This window comes from Homo sapiens, chromosome 12 (assembly GCF_000001405.40).
Source record: "Homo sapiens chromosome 12, GRCh38.p14 Primary Assembly".
NCBI lineage: Eukaryota > Metazoa > Chordata > Mammalia > Primates > Hominidae > Homo > Homo sapiens.
The window spans coordinates 98,790,865-98,809,553 of record NC_000012.12 but is presented as its reverse complement, the minus strand read 5'-3'; the positions used below and the strand labels follow the sequence as shown (position 1 = coordinate 98,809,553).

General features: G+C 37.0%; 1 protein-coding gene and 1 pseudogene across 73 annotated transcripts in view, besides 1 other annotated feature; one reads left to right on the top strand and one right to left on the bottom strand.

Moving 5' to 3' along the window:
- Window positions 1-18,689, top strand: part of ANKS1B (ankyrin repeat and sterile alpha motif domain containing 1B) — a 1,250,151-nt gene that overhangs the window by 1,175,383 nt on the left and 56,079 nt on the right. For 34 of the 73 annotated variants that reach the window (XM_006719514.5, NM_020140.4, NM_001352197.2 and 31 more), the window contains 2 exons: window positions 8,429-8,557; window positions 10,549-10,620. In XM_006719514.5, the coding sequence (XP_006719577.1) occupies window positions 8,429-8,557; window positions 10,549-10,620 (201 nt within the window). Of the gene's footprint in view, window positions 1-1,635; window positions 1,711-8,428; window positions 8,558-10,548; window positions 10,621-18,689 lie in introns of all 73 variants that reach the window. The other 39 variants (XM_006719507.5, NM_001352214.2, NM_001352223.2 and 36 more) reach the window with 2 other exon arrangements.
- LOC124902995 (probable ribosome biogenesis protein RLP24) lies at window positions 14,544-15,069 on the bottom strand (annotated as a pseudogene).
- Window positions 15,369-15,578: a silencer, noted in NCBI's record as "fragment chr12:99187754-99187963 (GRCh37/hg19 assembly coordinates)". NCBI's record gives its function as "represses an EF-1alpha promoter that drives an FKBP-Casp9 reporter gene in an ReSE screen in HepG2 liver carcinoma cells {active_cell/tissue: HepG2}" and the evidence as "EXISTENCE:reporter gene assay evidence [ECO:0000049][PMID:32094911]".

The following is an 18,689-nucleotide window of genomic DNA, read 5'->3' as shown; positions in this document are numbered from 1 at the left end:
ACCTCTTTAAATGTCTGTGTCTTCATCTATCAGATGACAGGTGGTCTCTGGATTATTTAGCACTAGAAGTGCTAGAAGCACTTCTAGCACTAGATTAACACTAGAAGTGTGTGAAAGTTGCAGAAGATGTGATTTGTGTAAAGAATTAGCTCAGGACTGGGTGAGGATGCCACTTAAGATGGTAATCCAGCTAACGCATGGAGTTAGTACATTCAAATCAGAGGAGAGCTATTGGAGACAAGGCCAACAGAGTGAATGGGTCTAAGACTGAACTTGCTAGAAAGGTAAGAAGAGGAAGAACCCTCTATGGATGTATAAAATAGCATGAAGTTTAGAGAGGGAACTGAGGATAGCAGAGCTGGTTTAAGTGAAAGGTGTTTGGAAGTGCCTTTGGTCAGACCCTGGGGATCTAACTTCCTTAACCATCCCCAGCAAGCCTCTGGTTAACAGAAGACATGGAAAGCAAAGGTGTAGGGGTGTGTGGAGATGCAGTTGTAACTAGAGAGAGAGGTGTTAAATTGCTGGTGAGCGTTTCTGGGGTGAGGAAACTTTTAGCTAGGGATAAGCCTTCTTTTCTATCATTTGTTTGCTGATGATACAGTTCTTTGCCGGGCCTCTTAACCATATTATGGTTATGTGCTTGCCTTCTTCCTGCAGTGATCTTTGTACGGACTGCTTGTGAATGCTAAAGATGCTCACAGAGCTTGCTGAATAAGTTTACATGCTCTGCCATTTTCTGTGATTTAATTTCACAGTGTCTTTTAGAATGATGAAATTCGGGAACAGAACTTGGGATGGGTCAAGCCAAGAGCTCAGTCGGTCTCTTTGAAGGTTTCTACTGTAACTCCTGGGAAGGGATGCTGGTTAGTTTAGTGTTTGGTTCTGAGCAAACATTACTGATAAGTTTATCTTATTAATGGTGTGGGGGAGAGCCAGAATTATGGAGCTGAATCATTAGACTCCCAAATGCTGTTCCCAAGGGTTTCTGCTTGAGGAACAGAACTGAATTTCCCTGACTTCAGTTCTTCCCTGCCCCAGCCTCCTTCCTGCCACCTCCTTCACTCCTCCCAGTGCTGGGTAGCAAGCTGACACGTCTTCCTTTGTTAACTACCGAGTTTTGCCCGTAAGAACTCTGGAGGCATAAATATCTTCTAGGTTTGTCAAATAGAGCAATGACTAAATCAGGAAAAGTCATTTTATTGCACTGTTTGCTCTTGGTCATTGAAGATAAGAAAATAAAAATATCGGACCTGTGTTAAAGGTTTTTTCCTGTTTTTCCTGAAGTTGATGAAAATATTTATCCTCTGAAAGTAGTGACGTGAAGGGGGAAGGTATTTCTGGTTTTCCGGCAAATATAAAATACAGTTTGCTTTTTTCCAAGGCATGAATTTATTGGTAATTTTCCTTGCATAAATGCATAAATGATTTTTTTAGTCAACTCAAAATGTTTTAAAGCAAAAAGAATGACTTGGAAGTCAATTATTAAACCTTGAGCACCCTAAAACATTTTTTGAGTTTTTTTTAAATGTGATTCTTTGCATTTTATTATTTTCCTCTTTTCCTTCCTGGATGCTACCTTGGTAGCTGCCATGTTTTAAATATTGACAAGATAAGATAGTTTTCTGTTTATATCAGCAGTCGTCTGTCTGTGAAATATGGACGAATCAGAACGCAGGATTTCCTTTCTCAGCGATCCATCAGGTTCATAATGTAAGGTTACAAATGGTTCTTTTCTTCTCCTGAACTTGCGCTATGTACTGTGTTGCACAGTGTTGTCAACAGCTATAGGTACTGTGTCCTGGCAATGCAGAAAATTTGTAATGTCTGGTGACTCCGAGACTCTTTGTCTATTATACTTCATTTACTGTGCCTTGTGATTAGTTGATGTGCAAACATTGTCCTAAAACAAGAAACATACTTGGTTTTAAAGTGTATGGTTAAAATATGTCCCATGTGAGTTTTGGCTTTCATTCCAGGCGTCTGTGTTAAACTTGCTTTTACAGGAAAAAGAAAAGGGTAAATTGATATATATATATATACACACATGTATATATCAGCATTATTCCTCCCCATTTTGTACCTCCCCATATTCATGGACTCTTCAACCCTTTGTGTCTAATGATTCTCAAAGATTCATGTGCTTCACTTGTGAGAAATTTCTGAGTATGATTTGCATGTTATTCTGTATACATTTTATGCAAATGTGGGGGGAGGTGAGCTGGGAGAGGCACGGTTACAGCTACAAAGTGGTTCTCAGCCTTTTTCCATTTGACAGTACTGAATTGATCTTTGCAAATTGTATGAAATTGTGACCCATTTTACTCTGAGCTGCATGATTTTCAAATGTTCATATTTCACCTTTGCATACTTTAGAAAAAGTTTATTTCTATTTGGAAAATAAACATTTAAATGTTTGGGGTTTTATGTTCCATATTTTAAAATACTATTCTATTTTCACACCCTTTTGAATTTCTCCCATTGGATAGCCTGCTGTCTGAGAGGTTGAGACACTTGGTTGAGAATCACTGAGCAGATTCTTGGGGCGGCATGTGAAGGGATGCCACGGGTATTTTTGTGAAGTGCCTTTTGGGATGCTGCATCAGGCACATATGTACTCCTGTGCATGGGACTTCTGGCTCTTGAGGACCATGGTGTCTATACATTGCCTGGTACTGGTGTTCACGTGACCCAGCAGTTCCTCTTGGACTCATAAATGTTAACCAGAGCTTTTATGTGTTCGTAAGTAGCCATCTCTGCTCTTTTTCATCTAAAGGAACAAATTCAGTATAACCAACTGCATTTGATCAAACTAGAATTCTTCATTCTTGAAGATTTTTTGAAAGAACAACTACAACATCCTGCTTTCATTATGTGTGAATGTTTATGGGAAGCCTTTTCCTTACATTCACTTTCAAATATACGTATGCATATTTATAAGCATAGAGCTGTGTATAGCATTCTTCAAAGCCTTAGAGATTACAGAAAGTAAATGTAATCACATATATCTTATGTATGTTTGGGTAGCCCATCTCTGAAATTTGTCATAATTATTGAAAGTAAAACCTTAAAACAATAATTGTCCTTTAAAATCATTTTAGTTTTTCATTAAGTGTTCTGAAGAAATTGAGACTAATGTTTGTTAATATTCAGATCTAAATTTATAAGCAAGTAGGTGGGAGCAGTCCTCATAGAAAAGATTTTAAAGGTTCTATTTTTAAAAATCAATTAAATCCTAATTTTTAAAAATTTTAAAGAATAATACAAGGCTTGGAAAATGCCATACTTTTCTATTAATGTTAGAAAAGTAAGTTGTAAGCATGGCTTTTAATTATCTACTGACATCCTTAGGAAACTTTTTCCTTAAGAAGAAAATAACATAAAGGCCTGGTAGAGTGTCTCATGCCTGTAATTCCCAGCACTTTGGGAGGCCAAGGCGGGTGGATCACTTGAGGCCAGGAGTTCGAGACCAGCCTGGCCAACATGGTGAAACCCTGTTTCTACTAAATATACAAAAGTTAGCCAGATGTGGTGGCACATGCCTGTAGTCCCAGCCACTTGGGAGACTGAGGCAGGAGGATCACTGGACCCTAGGAAGCGGAGGTTGCAATGAACCGAGATTGTGCCATCGCACTCCAGCCTGGGTGACAGAGGGAGACTCCATCTTGGAAAAATAAATAATAATAAAGACGGAAAATAACATAGAGAAGGGTTTTTCCTTTCTATTCTCAGAGCATATAGAATATGTAATATTCAGTTTCCCTTTTGGAGGGAGACAGCTACCTGATACAATTTGTTTTAGAATTTGCTGTAGGTGTCCAGTGCATGTGAACTAAAAATTTGCAGCTATTTACCACCTGTTGAAATAATGCAAAGTTTAAAAGCTGCAATTTGGAATCTGCCATCCAGTAAAAATCTCTGTATTTTGTGAAGCTTTTTGTTTTTTAACTAAATCCCATTGATGCTTTTGTATTTTTCAGTTGTTGGTATAAGAGAATGTTTAATTTAATTACATTATATTAGATGTGGCCCAATTATAGTCCTTCAGACTCACCCAGACTACAGATTTATAGTTGGCAGTTGCAAACATGTGTTACACAGAATCAATTCTCCATTTAAAATTCTAATGTCAAAGTATTTTTCCTTTATGTTAGAAGTTTAGTTTTTATTTGAGTTTGAAGAAGAGAGCTAATGATGTACATTTTCCTCTGTTTAATTGATGTTCTTTAGTGTGCTTAATAAAAAAAAAGGCCTTAAGCATACATATAAAAAATAATAATAAATACCAAATAAATGAAGTTTTAAGCCATGACAAAATTCTTGGAATATGAAGATCTTTCAAATACATGAACCTAAAGGAAAGATTTTCTGTAAATATTTTAAGTGCCAAAGAGATAGCCTGAAGACATTTATTAGGAGTACCTTGAATCATTTTGATTTCTCATTTGTGATTACTTAAGGAATCCTTTCAAAGACCACTGTGTCAATAATAATTTAAAATATGACAGAATTCTACCCTAAACTTTTCCTACTTCATTTTGCTATTCTAATGAAATATTGCGTTGTTAGCTGTGTTTAGGTCTGCTTTTCATTAAAAATAAGCTTTGATTATAAACCATTATTGTGGCAAAAGACTTCTTAGGTCTGTTATTTAATATTTAATAAGGATTTTTAAGTGGAAAATTACTAAATTTAAAAATATTTGCCTGAGGAGATGCAAGTATTATGTAGACATGAATGTACTAGTCAACAAGACCTAACACTAGGCTTCAAAGTTCAAAATGATTTTATGTATGAGGCAAAAATCTTTCTTTTTTGACCTCTTCTTCCATTCCATATAGTAACTACTCTACGTAATTCCTCCATAGCTCATTCCTGCTGTAATTCAGCCTCCAGGAGGGTTGAGACCTAAGGCACCCTTGTTCTCTGAACTCTTTTGTTCTTACTGGGAGTCAACCAGGTACAGCTGAATCCCAGCCAAGGGCCAAGGTCATACCTGTCCTTTACGACAGTGTAATGTTAAGTCCAGTTGTTGGAGTCCATCCATTCCCATTAAATTAATTCCAAAAAGAAGAATTAACATCTACAAATTGAGTCTTCTAAATACTTTTAGATCTAAGTTTAAAAAAAAAAAAAATAGGCAGGGGTGGGGAGAGAAGTTGATGAATTTCCAGGCAGAAAAGAAATTTATTTTCTAATAAATTCAATCTTAAGAACACCTTTCCCTCTGTTTAAAAATGAATTTCTGGAAATAGCACTAAATCTGATAAAATTCAGTGTCTCTTTCCAGAAAGGTAGATTCAGTCCCTGTAGGGAATTTGACAATATTTGGACTGAAGCAATATTTGAAGGCCACAAAGAAAATGAAATAAGTATTATATTTCTTTTCCTTGTAATTATCTCCCACCTTAGCACCTAGGGAAAATCCTATCAGATCACTCTGAATTCAAAGCAAGTGGTTTGTGATTTTGGACAAAGTGGAGTCATGGGAGAGCAGATGATGGCGCTGTCTAAACAGATTTAAGTGGATGTTCCACTAATTTCTTCCAGTGGTTATCAAATAAGGGATTTCAGTGATTTCCAGACCGAGATTGGAATGTATGTGCTGGGGCTTGTTATTCCCACAATGGCTGCTACAACTTATGTGGATGACGTAAATATTTGGATCAGCATTTGGCTGTGGCTCTGGCTTTAAATGTATGGAACTCACATTAAAGTTTAATTATAAAAGTGTGTGAGTTAATGGAACAATTAGAGAATGAATTTGCATATGATTTGCATGCTTAATGTACTAACACGTGAAATGTTTTCATAACCCTAGCTTCCCCCAACTCATTCCCACCCCCAGCCCTGTTCCCAGCCCTGGCCCTGCAACTCATGGCACCACCAGCTCATGCCGTGTTCAGACTTTTTTGAAAACTACCTGTTGAGCTTGGCCAAGGTCTACCTCTGCTGAACTGTAATAGGGTTCACATGAAGATCTGATGCTTGGTTTGAGTTGTCACATCAGCAGACACTGGATCAAAGGATCTTTGGAAGCCATCCAGATCCTCCTTTTGTATCATTCCACGGAGTTGCATGCAAACTTCTGTTGTTTTGTTAACAGTGTTACCTGTGACTTAAATGTACAATACCTGTTTGCCGTGTTGTTGTTGCTTTATCCAGGGAGCGGGAGAAGGAGGGAGAAGTTTAATGGGGGAGATTAGAGGATGATTTGATAGATTTGGGTAAAGCTTTTGTTTAAGAACCCATAGCTGCATGTTTCCAGAATTTTAAGCTATTATCACTTAAAGGTTATTACACTCAGCTTCAAAATGATATTGAAATCCACGTATCCTATATTTTGAATTTTATACTAGTTTTTCAAAAGTAAGTTACAGCCAGATGAAATAAAGACCAGAGAGAGAATAAAGAGCCAGCCATTTGAGAAAGAAGGAAAAGAAAAAAAATCAAAATAAGAAGCCAAAGAAAAACTTAATCTAATTTTAGAATTGCAGTCAGTTATCACTTTTACAAACTAAAAATTCATATAAATATAAAAGAAAAACTCAAGAATGAGTCAGGGATGGATAATAAAACAGACAAAAATGCTAAAGTTAATATTGCAAGTAAAGTCTTAACAATACCAACAGACAATATACATGTAACAAAATTTCACATATACCCCATAAATGTGTACAAAAATAAAAAATACCAACAGACAGGGAATAGGAGGATTAAGCAATGTAAAAGTAAATCAGCAACGAAAACAAAACTAATGTGGAGAGTGGCTGAGAACAGAGCAGGAGAGAAAAGCCGAAGGAGTTCCAACTAGTCACACACTAACTACAGTGAGAAGCCAAGGAAATAGCGTGATGCTAACTTTGCTCTTCTGCGAGTCGAAGTGACCCATCTCAAGGAGAAAAGCTTCAGGCACTCCACTGCTAAAAAAAAAAAAAAAAAAAAAAAAAAAAAAAAAAAAAGCCTGTGCATTACTGAAGTCCTCTAGAAAGGGCTTTTTATCATTGGCAGCTACTTCATATGTCACCTAATGTAAGTCCAAAGTGCGCAAAGAAAATTGGAGAGCTAGTTCTCCTCCCCAAAATATGCACCCTATGTACGCCATTCCTAGAGAACTGTGGTTCTTAATCTTTTGGAGTTTCTAGATTCTTTCAAAGAATTTAATAAAGCAGAGAACTTCCTTTCTCTCCCAAAACATACAACTGCATCCAAAATTTTGCATTCTTGTCCTAGACTCCTTAAAAATTCTCCTTAAGAAATCCCACAGTGTGTCAACACACTTTCTAGCACTTCTGTGGAACTTGTTCTCTAACCAAGGTTTTATTTGATTTTGGAGTTTATGAGACCTTTTTACACTCTTCCAACTCCTGAGAAAAGTAATTTCTCATAGTTCTATATATAGCCAAATCTAGGTTAGAGGAGAGTCACTCTAGAAATCTGCCTATTTAGTTTTAGTTATGTCCACTTGAGAACAAAGAACTGAGTTTTGGAAAAATCCAAATCTTTCCCAGGAGAAAGAGTAAGAAATATCTCATGCGTAGTATGTAAATCAGAGTAGAGCCCAGAAAATACCTGCCAACACTGGCCTTTGACTTTATAGATGCTCACATTAAGCTATTATACTGATGAAACAGGTTGAGGCTAACCTCATGGAAAATGATAAATGAAATGATGGGAGGTCCTCCTGTTTTAGGTCTGTATCATATGATATACCATCATTTGGGAATGTGCTTGTATTTGTGAATCAGAATCCTCAAAGTACATGCCTATGTACATGTGACCAAACTTGGCATTTCACTGTTTAGTCTTCATTGGTACGTTAGGTTTTCTGAGAAAAGTAGCTGAATCCATCTGAGACAGCATCATTAAATCAGTGCAATTGAATTCAGATGAGAGAAATTAGTGTCACCCATTAGTAAATTTTTCTTTTAAATTTTGTTTAGCATCATGCTTACACTACCATTTCTCCAGAGATCTAAAATTATTCAAAGTGGCTAGTACATGTCATATTTGGGAACTGAAATTTATAGAACTGTGTGTTCTGAATGTGAAAGCAATTCAAACTAAAAATTTCAGTCAAGTTTAAAAACAAAATTCTTTTAAAGATTGTGTGTCCTTTGCTGTTGTGATGGAAAATTGTGATTAGTAAATCATTTATGAATATCTTCATGTTTTATTTTAAAGTGACTTAGCTTAGGATGTCATTCTAAAAATAGAATAATTCAACTCCACACCTCAAAAATTAACTCAGCCTTGAGAGATATGCTAATACATATAAAAATGTAATAACCAAGTATTTATATTCACATAAGACACCCAAATGCATTTTGGTACATTCACAGCACCTGTGTGTAAGGTGAGCTCAGGGTAGCTACAGGGAATGAACTTTGCTGACTGCTCATATTGCCTCTAGAATAAATGTCATTTTCAGACAGGAGACTGGGGAGAACCTTCCATTACCTTGCGACCTCCGAATGAAGCCACAGCCTCTACCCCGGTACAGTACTGGCAGCATCACCCAGAAAAGCTTATCTTCCAGTCGTGTGATTACAAAGCTTTTGTAAGTTACCCTCAATTCAGTATTTGGGCCTAAGTGGAGATAGGGGGTATGTTTTCAGCTTGTTTGCATTTACATTGAAAATATACCAAAATATCCATATCCATCACTGAAATTTTTAAAATGTTTTTCTCTTCACTTTTTCTTAAAGTAGCCTTCTATCCAAAGAGAAAGTCCAAATAACTAGAGCTTTAAAACCGTTTTAATCTTGTAAGTTTAAGGTCTGTTGTGACCTCTTATATAGTTGTATATTTTTAAATAAATGTTATAACGTACAATCTTAAAATGGAAATGAGTGTAAATATGGCATATATATATATATATCTCTGCTCACTCACCAAACACTGGGTCTCAAAACACTGGGTCTGCCACTTTATGTAAATACCAGATTCTTTTCACTGTCATCAATAGGATTATACTATTTTTCTGTTTTAGTTGTTTAGTTTAGTTTGGTTTAGTTTAGGTTAGTTGTTTAGTTTTTTAGAAGAGGGGAATTAATTATAATTAGCTGAGAAATGTAATAGGAACTGGTAAATGTTCAAAAGATACTGTAGGTTTTGGGTCAGGTGGTGGTTGTCTTGACGACAGCAGAAAAAGTGGCTGAACCTTCAGCAGTGCATTGAAACTGCCTCTCTTAAAAAGAAACATTTCAATCAGGCAAACTTCCCTGATAACTTAAAAGATAAGGATTTTACCAAAAGATAATAAATTTCACCTTCATTTGATTTAGATGGACATTGTGGTTATCTCATACCAGTTGAGCTTTTTTTTTTTTTTTTTTTCATTTTCTGCTTTCTGCCCCTCTTTTACTAAAGCTTACTTATATTGCAGCTTTGGATTTATTTCAGTGGTACTGCCCAAAACCATAGGATTGAAATGGCTCCTCCCTCCAAACCCCAAGTCCCCAAGCCTTTCTGAACATGCCTTTCTCCAAGGCCCTGACCACGCCTTCTGCTGTTGTGCCCTCTCACGTCTTCTTCAAGTCAGGCACTTCCCTAGTCCACAAGAGTGGTTCCCATCCCCGTCTCTGCAGAGTACAAGTCTCCAGTCTTGTCAGGAAGTGTCCATCAGATATCTTCTAAAATAATTATTGTAATTCACTTTTTTAAAAAACATATATAGAGCTCTTTGGGGGCTGGTGGGGGGAGGGCAAGGGGCAGGGGAATGACAAAAGGCAAAAACCCTACTAAAGCTTCAAAAGGTTGAAGGGGAGTCAATTGATAGAAAGGCAAATCAGACATTTTGTTTAAAACCATTTGGCCCCAGCCAGAAGCTGGAGCACGAGGGGCATTTTGTACCAGGATGATACAGTATGGGGTCTGGTCTTCTAACAACAAAGTAGTTGGCAATTCTTGGGAGACTGTCATCCTTCTAGCTCCATTCAGCCCTCCAGGTGGCACTTCGCACCAGGAACCCAGCTCTCTTCCCCTGGGAAACAACTGAGAATGCCTCTCTCCCTCCCCCCACCCTCCCATCCCGTTCTCAGGTGGATCAACCATAGGGCACACAGCTGTGAATGAAAAAGGTCCAAAACTGCATCTCTGCCTAAAAGCCTAACATTAATTACCTATGCAGCAGAATAAGCCTAAATGGGGGACATGTTGCTTAGCTTCTCAGCTGTCTCATGCAACCCTGTAATTACAGAGATAGTAGTGTGATTTATTTTTGCAGACATTGCTGCCTCAAAAAAGGGGAAAACATTTTTAGATGCCCCCATTTTGCAGTTAAATATGATTTGAAAGATGGCATCTTTAGAAGATGTTGCAGTTTCATTATAAAGAGCAATTACAGCCCCCAGAACTTATGGTTAATTCTGCTGCATTTTCTCTATGAATGCATTTATTTGTTAGGATTAGTTACTGTCAGTTTTTTAAAGTTATGCAACAACTTACAGCCAGGAAACCTAGCCAGTAATACTTCCACAATTTGTTTTTAAAACATTACTCATATGTATATTCCATTTCATAAATCATTGAATTTTTTTTGTATTTTAGTATTTAGGTTCTATGCTGATAAAAGAGCTTAGGGGGACAGAATCAACCCAAGATGCTTGTGCAAAAATGCGGGTAAGTCTGCCAAACTACTTTATTTCTAGTAGCTGAAATACTAAATACTGGGTATGGATACAAATTGCCACCTTTCAAATTACTATTTTCTCCATCTGTTGGTCTGCTGAATCACATTGGTATTACATAAAAAGGTGCTCTTGCTTTCTGCATGTTTATGCTTGAACTTATCTCACTATAGTTTGAGTTAATGTCTATTTGCTATATTTGTACTATATTTGTTCTTAATTATTTTTAAAGATTTAAAATTAATTGTATCATTTTCGAGATTAGAAAAATGATCTTTATTACAACAAAAGGTTTTAAGCACGCACTGAATAGTCTGAGAATATTTACTGAAAACATCACCAATTGACTAAAATTATCAAAAGCAGAAGTATTAAGAGCATATTATATAAAGCTAATATTCTTTATGCAATTTCTTACTCAGTTTTTTTTTTTTATTTTTTTAAATTCAACTTTGAGTGGAATGAACTATTTAAGGGCAAATGTTAACTAAAAATGGCAATTCCAGGCCGGGCACAGTGGCTCACGTCTGTAATCCCAGCACTTTGGGAGGTCAAGGTGGGTGGATCACCTGAGGTCAAGGAGTTCAAGACCAGCCTGGCCAACATGGCAAAACCCCTCTTACTAAAAATACAAAAATTAGCCAGGCATGGTGGCATGCACCTGTAATCCCAGCTACTTGGGAGGCTGAGGCAGGAGAATCGCTTGAACCTGAAGGCAGAGCTTGCAGTGAGCTGAGATCTCACCATTGTACTCCAGCCTGGGTGACACAAGTGGAACTCTGTCTCAAAAAAAAAAAAAAAATGGCAATTCCAAATATCTGTGATTAGTGGCTGCTTGATTCCTAGGAGTCTATTTTAGCCAAAGCAACTCTAACTCGTATTGCAGACCCACCTTTTCCTTTTGTACGTGTCCCTTGTTCTTGCTTCCTCCATAACAGGTGTATAGAGGCTATGCTGGTATCTGAGTAACTGCACAAATTGAGAATATCAGACTTGTTCAATATAGCATCTAACTAAAGTCAAATTTAAGGTCATTAGTAAGTGCAATCCTAACTTTTATTTATGGCCAATATACCTTGTTGTTTATTTTATATGAGCAGCTTTTGGTGGAAAATAATTTAAGAGCATATAATTACACTGAAACAGCTATGAAGGTAAACATGAAATATCCATTGTTTATGGAAAGCTAAATATGTGTGAATCTTCATGAAATTGAGACTTCAATATGTAATCACTAATATTTTGATCAATTCAACAGCAAAAAAGACTGAAATAGTTATCCTTCTATTTAATGCAGAGTTAGACAGTACTTAAATTGTCAGTACCAGTGAATATTTAACTTAGGTACTGAGTTTAGATAAAAAAACAAGCTTCTGTATATATCAGAAACTCTAAGTTTTAGTTCCGTGGCTGGTTATTTGCCTTAGGAGTCACCTGTTATTCATAAAAATAATATGATAGCTGCTAACATTTACTGAGTCTTTACAGTGTCCCCTAGTACAATTATTGTCCCCATTTTACAGACGAAGAAATGGAGGCTTACAGAGGTTGAATAACTTGCTCAAGGTCACACAGGGAATAACTTGCCAATCTGAGACTGGAATTCGGGTCTGTCTGACTCCAGAGCCCAGGCTTTTAACCACTACATTCTCCTGTTTCCCCGATCCTCTGTTTTCTTACATATAAAATGAGAACATTAGACTAGATACACTTTAGAGTTCTCCCTGGTTTTATAATTCTGGAAATCTTGTATTCTAAATATTTATCTGGCCTAATTTGTGTCACCAATGAACAATAAGAAAAAGGGAAAGTTTTCATTCATCAAGCCTCATAATAATTTTAGAAATATTCATGAACATGTCTAATAAATTAATTGGGCATCTCTGATTTAATACTCTTAACTAAATTACCTGAGACCAGCTACTCCGGTGTGATAATCAGCATCAGTATTGCCTAGTGCATGCAGCATCATTTAAAATATACCAGATGTATGATTTGAATCTCAGTCAATTTCATGAAATTGAGTGGATCTGAAATTACATCCTGATAGCAATAGAAAAGCCATTTTAGTAGCCTAAGTAGAGAATAATTTAGTTAAATCCTTGTCTGTTGCTTAAAATGAAACTTAGAAAAAAACATATATTTAGAAGCCATTCTTCTGTTTTGGGGGGCATTTTTCTGGTTTGCTGCTCTTGGTGCTTATGTAGTTTACATGAAAATAGAAACTTCATTACTTCTCGGACTATCATAAACCCTTATTTCCAATCTTGATTAAGTAAGTCTCAGTTCTTGATAAAGTAGCTAAGGTTGCATTCACTACATTTCACCAGAGTCTTTCAAAACCAGAAGCATAGGGTTGATCTGCTATCTGGAACTATTCTATTGTGAATTAGAACTTTCACCAACTATAAATGATGTAGATCTCAACTTGCAGCTAATTTTCAGTTTGAACCCCAAGTTGCTGTTTTCTCTGTTCTCAGCATGGTGGCATTTCAGCCAAAAGTCCCAGTTCAATCAAAACTCCCCATGAAAAATACTTTAGGACACAGACGGTCTAAAAAGTTGATTCATGGTAATATTATTAGGCCAAAGTATTGTAGATTAAGAGTTACCTGTTTATTCTTTTAATTGAAAAAAAGATGTTTTCTGTTCAAAGTATGCATTTTAGCCAAAATGAAAATGTCTCTCCCAGTAATAAGTAAATCACTGTGGTTCCCAATTCTGATCAATGTTTCCTTAAATGTACTTTGTTAACAAAGATGACTAAAATCCACCGAGTTCACAATCCAGTGGAGGAAACCAACATGTGAACATTTAATTACCCCAAAGTGGTAGAAGTATTACCATAGAGGCACTTTCAAGTTGCCATCAGCCTAAGGGATCATAATAGACGATCTTAAAAATGACATATACTCATGCCCTCCTAAAATCAGTTTATTAGGGCTAATAACAGGTAGCAGTTGAGAGCTGTACACCCTGCCCTGCACAACTGAATTATGTGCATTAGTTCACTCAGTCCACACAGTAGGTATTGCCATTGCTCCCACTTTACATATGGGAAAACAAAGTCCAAGAGAAGTTAAGTCACTTGCCCAAGGTCACACAGACAGCAGGTGGCAGAGCCAGGATTTGAAACCAGGCAGTCCACTCCACTACCCACACTGTGAATCCAGAGACTGGACTGCCTCTCCAATGTGCCAGGAACATTCATTGCCCTGGGTTTTGTTTTTTGTTTTGTTTTGTTTTGTTTTTTTCACTTTTTAAATGGCTTATTTTATGTGCAAATAATAAACAGATGTTGTACCCAGAAATTCTACTTTCCAAAAACAGGAGCTTTTTAAAAGAAAACCACATAATAACTTTTAAAAGGCACTGGGATTCCTCTGCTTCTAGATCATTGCTAGGCTAGAAAAATAAAGTTTGTTCTACCAGGAATCACAAGTTAGAACTGAGTATTCTCCAGAGTGGAAATTCTAGAGTGTAGTGTGATTTCAGGCAAAGATTATTCAGTTCTCATCCTCGACATCCACAACTACCTATCAGAAGGGTTAAACCAGCTCAAAACAGTCCAGCATAATTAGGCTTCATCAAACAATGTCATTATGCTCTTCTAAGATGCAAATGAAGCAAAACAGGAAATTCTAAAATCTAAATAATATTTGACACTGTCATACAAATTGTTAGTTCCTTGTTGTATCCTCCCTTCTATAACATTAATAAAGGGAATATTTTACTGCAAAGAATATTTTATTTTATACATCACTAGCCATGAATTTTTGCCATTAGTTATTATACAAATGCTGCCTAGTGCCATTAGATGGCAAGGTAGGAAAAATATATTTTAATCATTTTTCATTTAAGTGGCCTTATGTAAAAAATAAGCTAATAATTTAGCAGTTTCAAGTCTCCAAAGGGCATTTTCAAATGTTCATAAAAGAAATGGTTACAGAGATTTTTAAGAAGCATCTTCCATGTCCACATCCTCTTGTAGCTGCTGTGCCATTTTCTCTTCCAACTGCTTCCCTTTGCCTGCAAGAGGGGCTCGGATAAGATGGATGTTTTGCTTGACTTCTTTGATATCCTGAACTTTCTGTAGCTCTTTATTTTTCTTCAATCTGTTCATTAAGCTTCGTGTTTCTGTTTGATCTCTTCAATTCTCTTCATTGCATCAGTAGTTTTATTCCATAGCTCTCACTGGTATTTGATAGGTTCATTTCTACGGTTTTCAAATTCAAATGAATTATCCACTGTAAGCTCTTTACCAGCTGCTTTCCAGAATGCTTTGGTCCACCTAACTTTGTGAGGATCGCACTTCTTTTTAAAGTTTTTAATGACATTTAGATTTACAAAATCTGAACACCTTGCAATCATTGCGGATGAACATCTTGCCATGGCCAGGGTGGATGGGCCCCAGACAGAAATAACACTTCTTGATACACATGTTGAACCCCCATGGGTCCCCATCGACCAAACGCCAAGCTTGCCAAGCTTGAGAGGAAGTCTTTTTTTTTTTTTTTTTTTTTTTTTTTTTTTGAGACAGAGTTTCGCTCTTGTCACCCAGGCTGGAGTGCAATGGTGCAATCTTGGCTCACTGCAACCTCCACCTCCTGGGTTCAAGTGATTCTCCTGCCTCAGCCTCCCCAGTAGCTGGGGTTACAGGCGCCTGCCACCATGCCTGGCTAACTTTTGTATTTTTAGTAGAGACGGGGTTTCACCATGTTGGCCAGGCTGGTCTCGAACTCCTGGCCTCAAGTAATCCACCCGCCTTGGCCTCCCAAAGTGCTGGGATTACAGGCGTGAGCCACCGCGCCTGGCCAAGAATTACCACTTTTAAATAATGTGTCCACAGGACTGGATTTTACAAAGCCATAAGTATATTGCTTTGACTTTTCAGTGGGTTTGTTGTTGTTGTTATGTTGGTATGAATAACTCCCACTTCAAAGATTCCAAGACATACAGTTTTTGGTGAAGTGAAGGATTTGCTCTGGCCAGATGAGGTTCTGCTCTTCAATTTTGCCTCCCTAGGCTTACCCATACCCCATCCCGAACCCTGAATTTTGCCCTGGGGCTTAATTTTCACTAATATACAGTAATGCATCACTTCCCTAATTAAATATACAATTAGGAAGCATCTGTTACTGTAAGAGGTAAGCCATTATATTCAATTTAATACTCTCTGCAGTCTTACGTTCTCTAATCCCATAGTTGATGGTTAGTATCATTCACAGGTGTTTGTTCTCAAGGAAATTTCTCTTAAAAAGTAATAAAAATAGGATTATTTGTTGTTTTGCTATTGCAATGTTTGGGTCCCTTATAAATTCTGGATATTAATCCTTGTCAGATGTATAGCTTGCAAATATTTTCTCCCATTCTCTAAGATGTCTCCTTTGCTGTTGTTTCCTTTGCTGTGCAGAAGGCTTTTAGTTTGATGTAATCCCATGTGTCTATTTTTGCTTTTGTTGCCTGTGCTTTTGGAGTCATATCCAAAAAATTCTTTCCCAGTCCAATGTCATGACGTGTTTCTCCAGCGTTTTCTTCTAGTGGTTTCAGGTCTTATATTTAAGTCTTTAATCCATTTTGAGTTGACAAATAATCAACTTTAAAATGGGCAAATGACCAGAATAGACATTTATCAAAAGAAGACTTACAAATGGCCAAAAAGTATATGAAAAAATGCTCAATATCATTAATCAGTAGGGAAATGCAAAGCAAACCCAAAGTGAATCACTAGGGAAATGCAAAGCAAAAACCACATCTTACTCCATTTAGAATGGCTATTATCAAAAAGACAAAAGATAACAAATGTTGGTGAGAATGTGGAGAAAAGAGAACCCTTGTACATTGTTGGTGGGAATATAAATTAGTAGAGCAATGATGGAAACAGTATGGCGGCTTCTCAAAAAATTAGAAAGAGAATTACTATATTATCCAGCAATCCCACTATTGGGTATATATCCAAAGGAAATGAAATCAGTATGTTGATATCTGCACCTCCATGTTTACTCTAGCACTATTCACAATGGCCAAGATGTGGATCCAAGCTAAGTGTTTATTTAAAATTGTGTCCATCAACAGATGAATGCGTAAAGAAAATGTGGTATATGTACACAATAAAATACTATTCAGGGAAAGAAAAAGAATGAAATTCTGTTATTTGTGACAACATAGATGAGCCTGGAAGACATTATGTTAAGTGAAATAGGCCAGACACAGAAAGACAAATACCACATGATTTCACTCATACATGGAATCTAAAAAGTTGATCTCATACAAGTAGAGAATAGAACAGTGGTTATCAAAGCCAGGAAAGGGTAGATGAGGAGGAGGGGAATAGGGAGACGTTGCTCAATGGTAACAAACTTACAATTAGGTAGGAAAAATAAGTTCTGGTGCCCAATTGCACAGTAGGGTGACTGTAGCTAACAATGCTGTACTGTATACTTGAAAATAGCTAGAAGAGGATTTTGAATTTCTGAAAACAAAGAAATCATAACTGTTTAAGGTTCCAGGTATGATAATTACCCCTATTTGTCATTACACAATGTATACATATATTGAAACATCACATTGTGCCCCATGAATATGTACAGTTATTATGTGTCAATTGATATTTTTAAAAAATAATCCTCCCCAAAAAAGAAATATCTGTTTTCAACTAAGATGAGGTAGAAATCTGCCTTCCTGATATAAGAAAGGAAATATTTTAAGATTATTTTTAAGTCAGAAATAAGCAAATCTAGTGTATTTAGGTCTTGGAACTTTTATTTCCCAAAGGATTTGGATAGTTTCCCCATAGTTCTCATTGAATCTGTTCCTCTTAATTTGTATGATTTTTAAACTTTCAATCCAGAAGCACTTCTAAAGCGTGAATTTTCAAATATACAAATTTCCAAATAATAATCCATGCCCTAGTTGAAGTATTAAGACTTTTCTCTTTTTTATGTGTTTTAGGAAACAATAGAGGGAATGGGTTGGAAAACTTTGAAAAAGTTAGATCTTAAAATTAGATGGAAATACTAAATGTAAAAGCCTCTTTCCTCTTAGAAGAGACTCAAACTAAAATCATGTTTTGTTCCTCTGTCCTCATACAAATTCCTTCTGTGACAAGTTGTCATTTTCAGATATAACTTCAAGAATTACTTCTTAGGAATCAGACTGGGAAAAAAAACTTTTAAACAACTATTTTTTTAAAAGTCTCTGTTGAGCTGGGCACAGTAACATGCACTTGTACTCCCAGCTACTTGGGAAGCTGAGTCAGGAGGATCACTTCAACCCAGGAATTTGAGACTGTAGTGTACTGTGATCACACCTGTGAACAGCCACTGCATTCTAGCCGGGGCAACATAGCCAGATCCCATCTTTAAAAAAAAATTCTCTGTTGCCCAATTTCATGGAAGCATCAATTATTTTCTTTCACTCTCTCCCAAATACTGCGTGAGTCATAGTGAATACAGCTTCTAAGCCCATAAATGTGTGTTGTGTGTCTATTGAATCGCAATGCCCACAAAGAAACAGCCACATAGGTAACTCCTTATTGCTGATCCTTGCTCACATGTGCCTTTCCCATTGTGAATGTTTTCTTTTTTTTTTTTTTTGACTGTCTCCCAGGCTGGAGTGCAGTGGCCCAATCTTGGCTCACTGCAACCTCTGCCTCCTGGGTTCAAGCAATTCTCCTGCCTCAGCCTCCTGAGTAGCTGGGACTACAGGCATCCGCCACCACGTCCGGCTAATTTTTGTATTTTTAGTAGAGACAGGGTTTCACCATATTGACCAGGCTGGTCTCGAACTCCTGACCTTGTGATCTGCCCACCTCGGCCTCCCAAAGTGCTGGGATTACAGGCGTGAGCCACCACGCCCAGCCTCTCATTGTGAATGTTTTCTTACGGGCCTACTCTAGAAGGCTAAAGAGCACCAACCATCTTATTCCATATTGTCTTCAAACCCCAGTTCTCTTTGTTATTTTTTATAGCCCTTGTTGCTAGCTTTTCTCCCATATAACACCCTTACTACTTCACATCACTGAAAGATTTCCTGGGCTGCTTCTGTCTTTAATTCCCACTT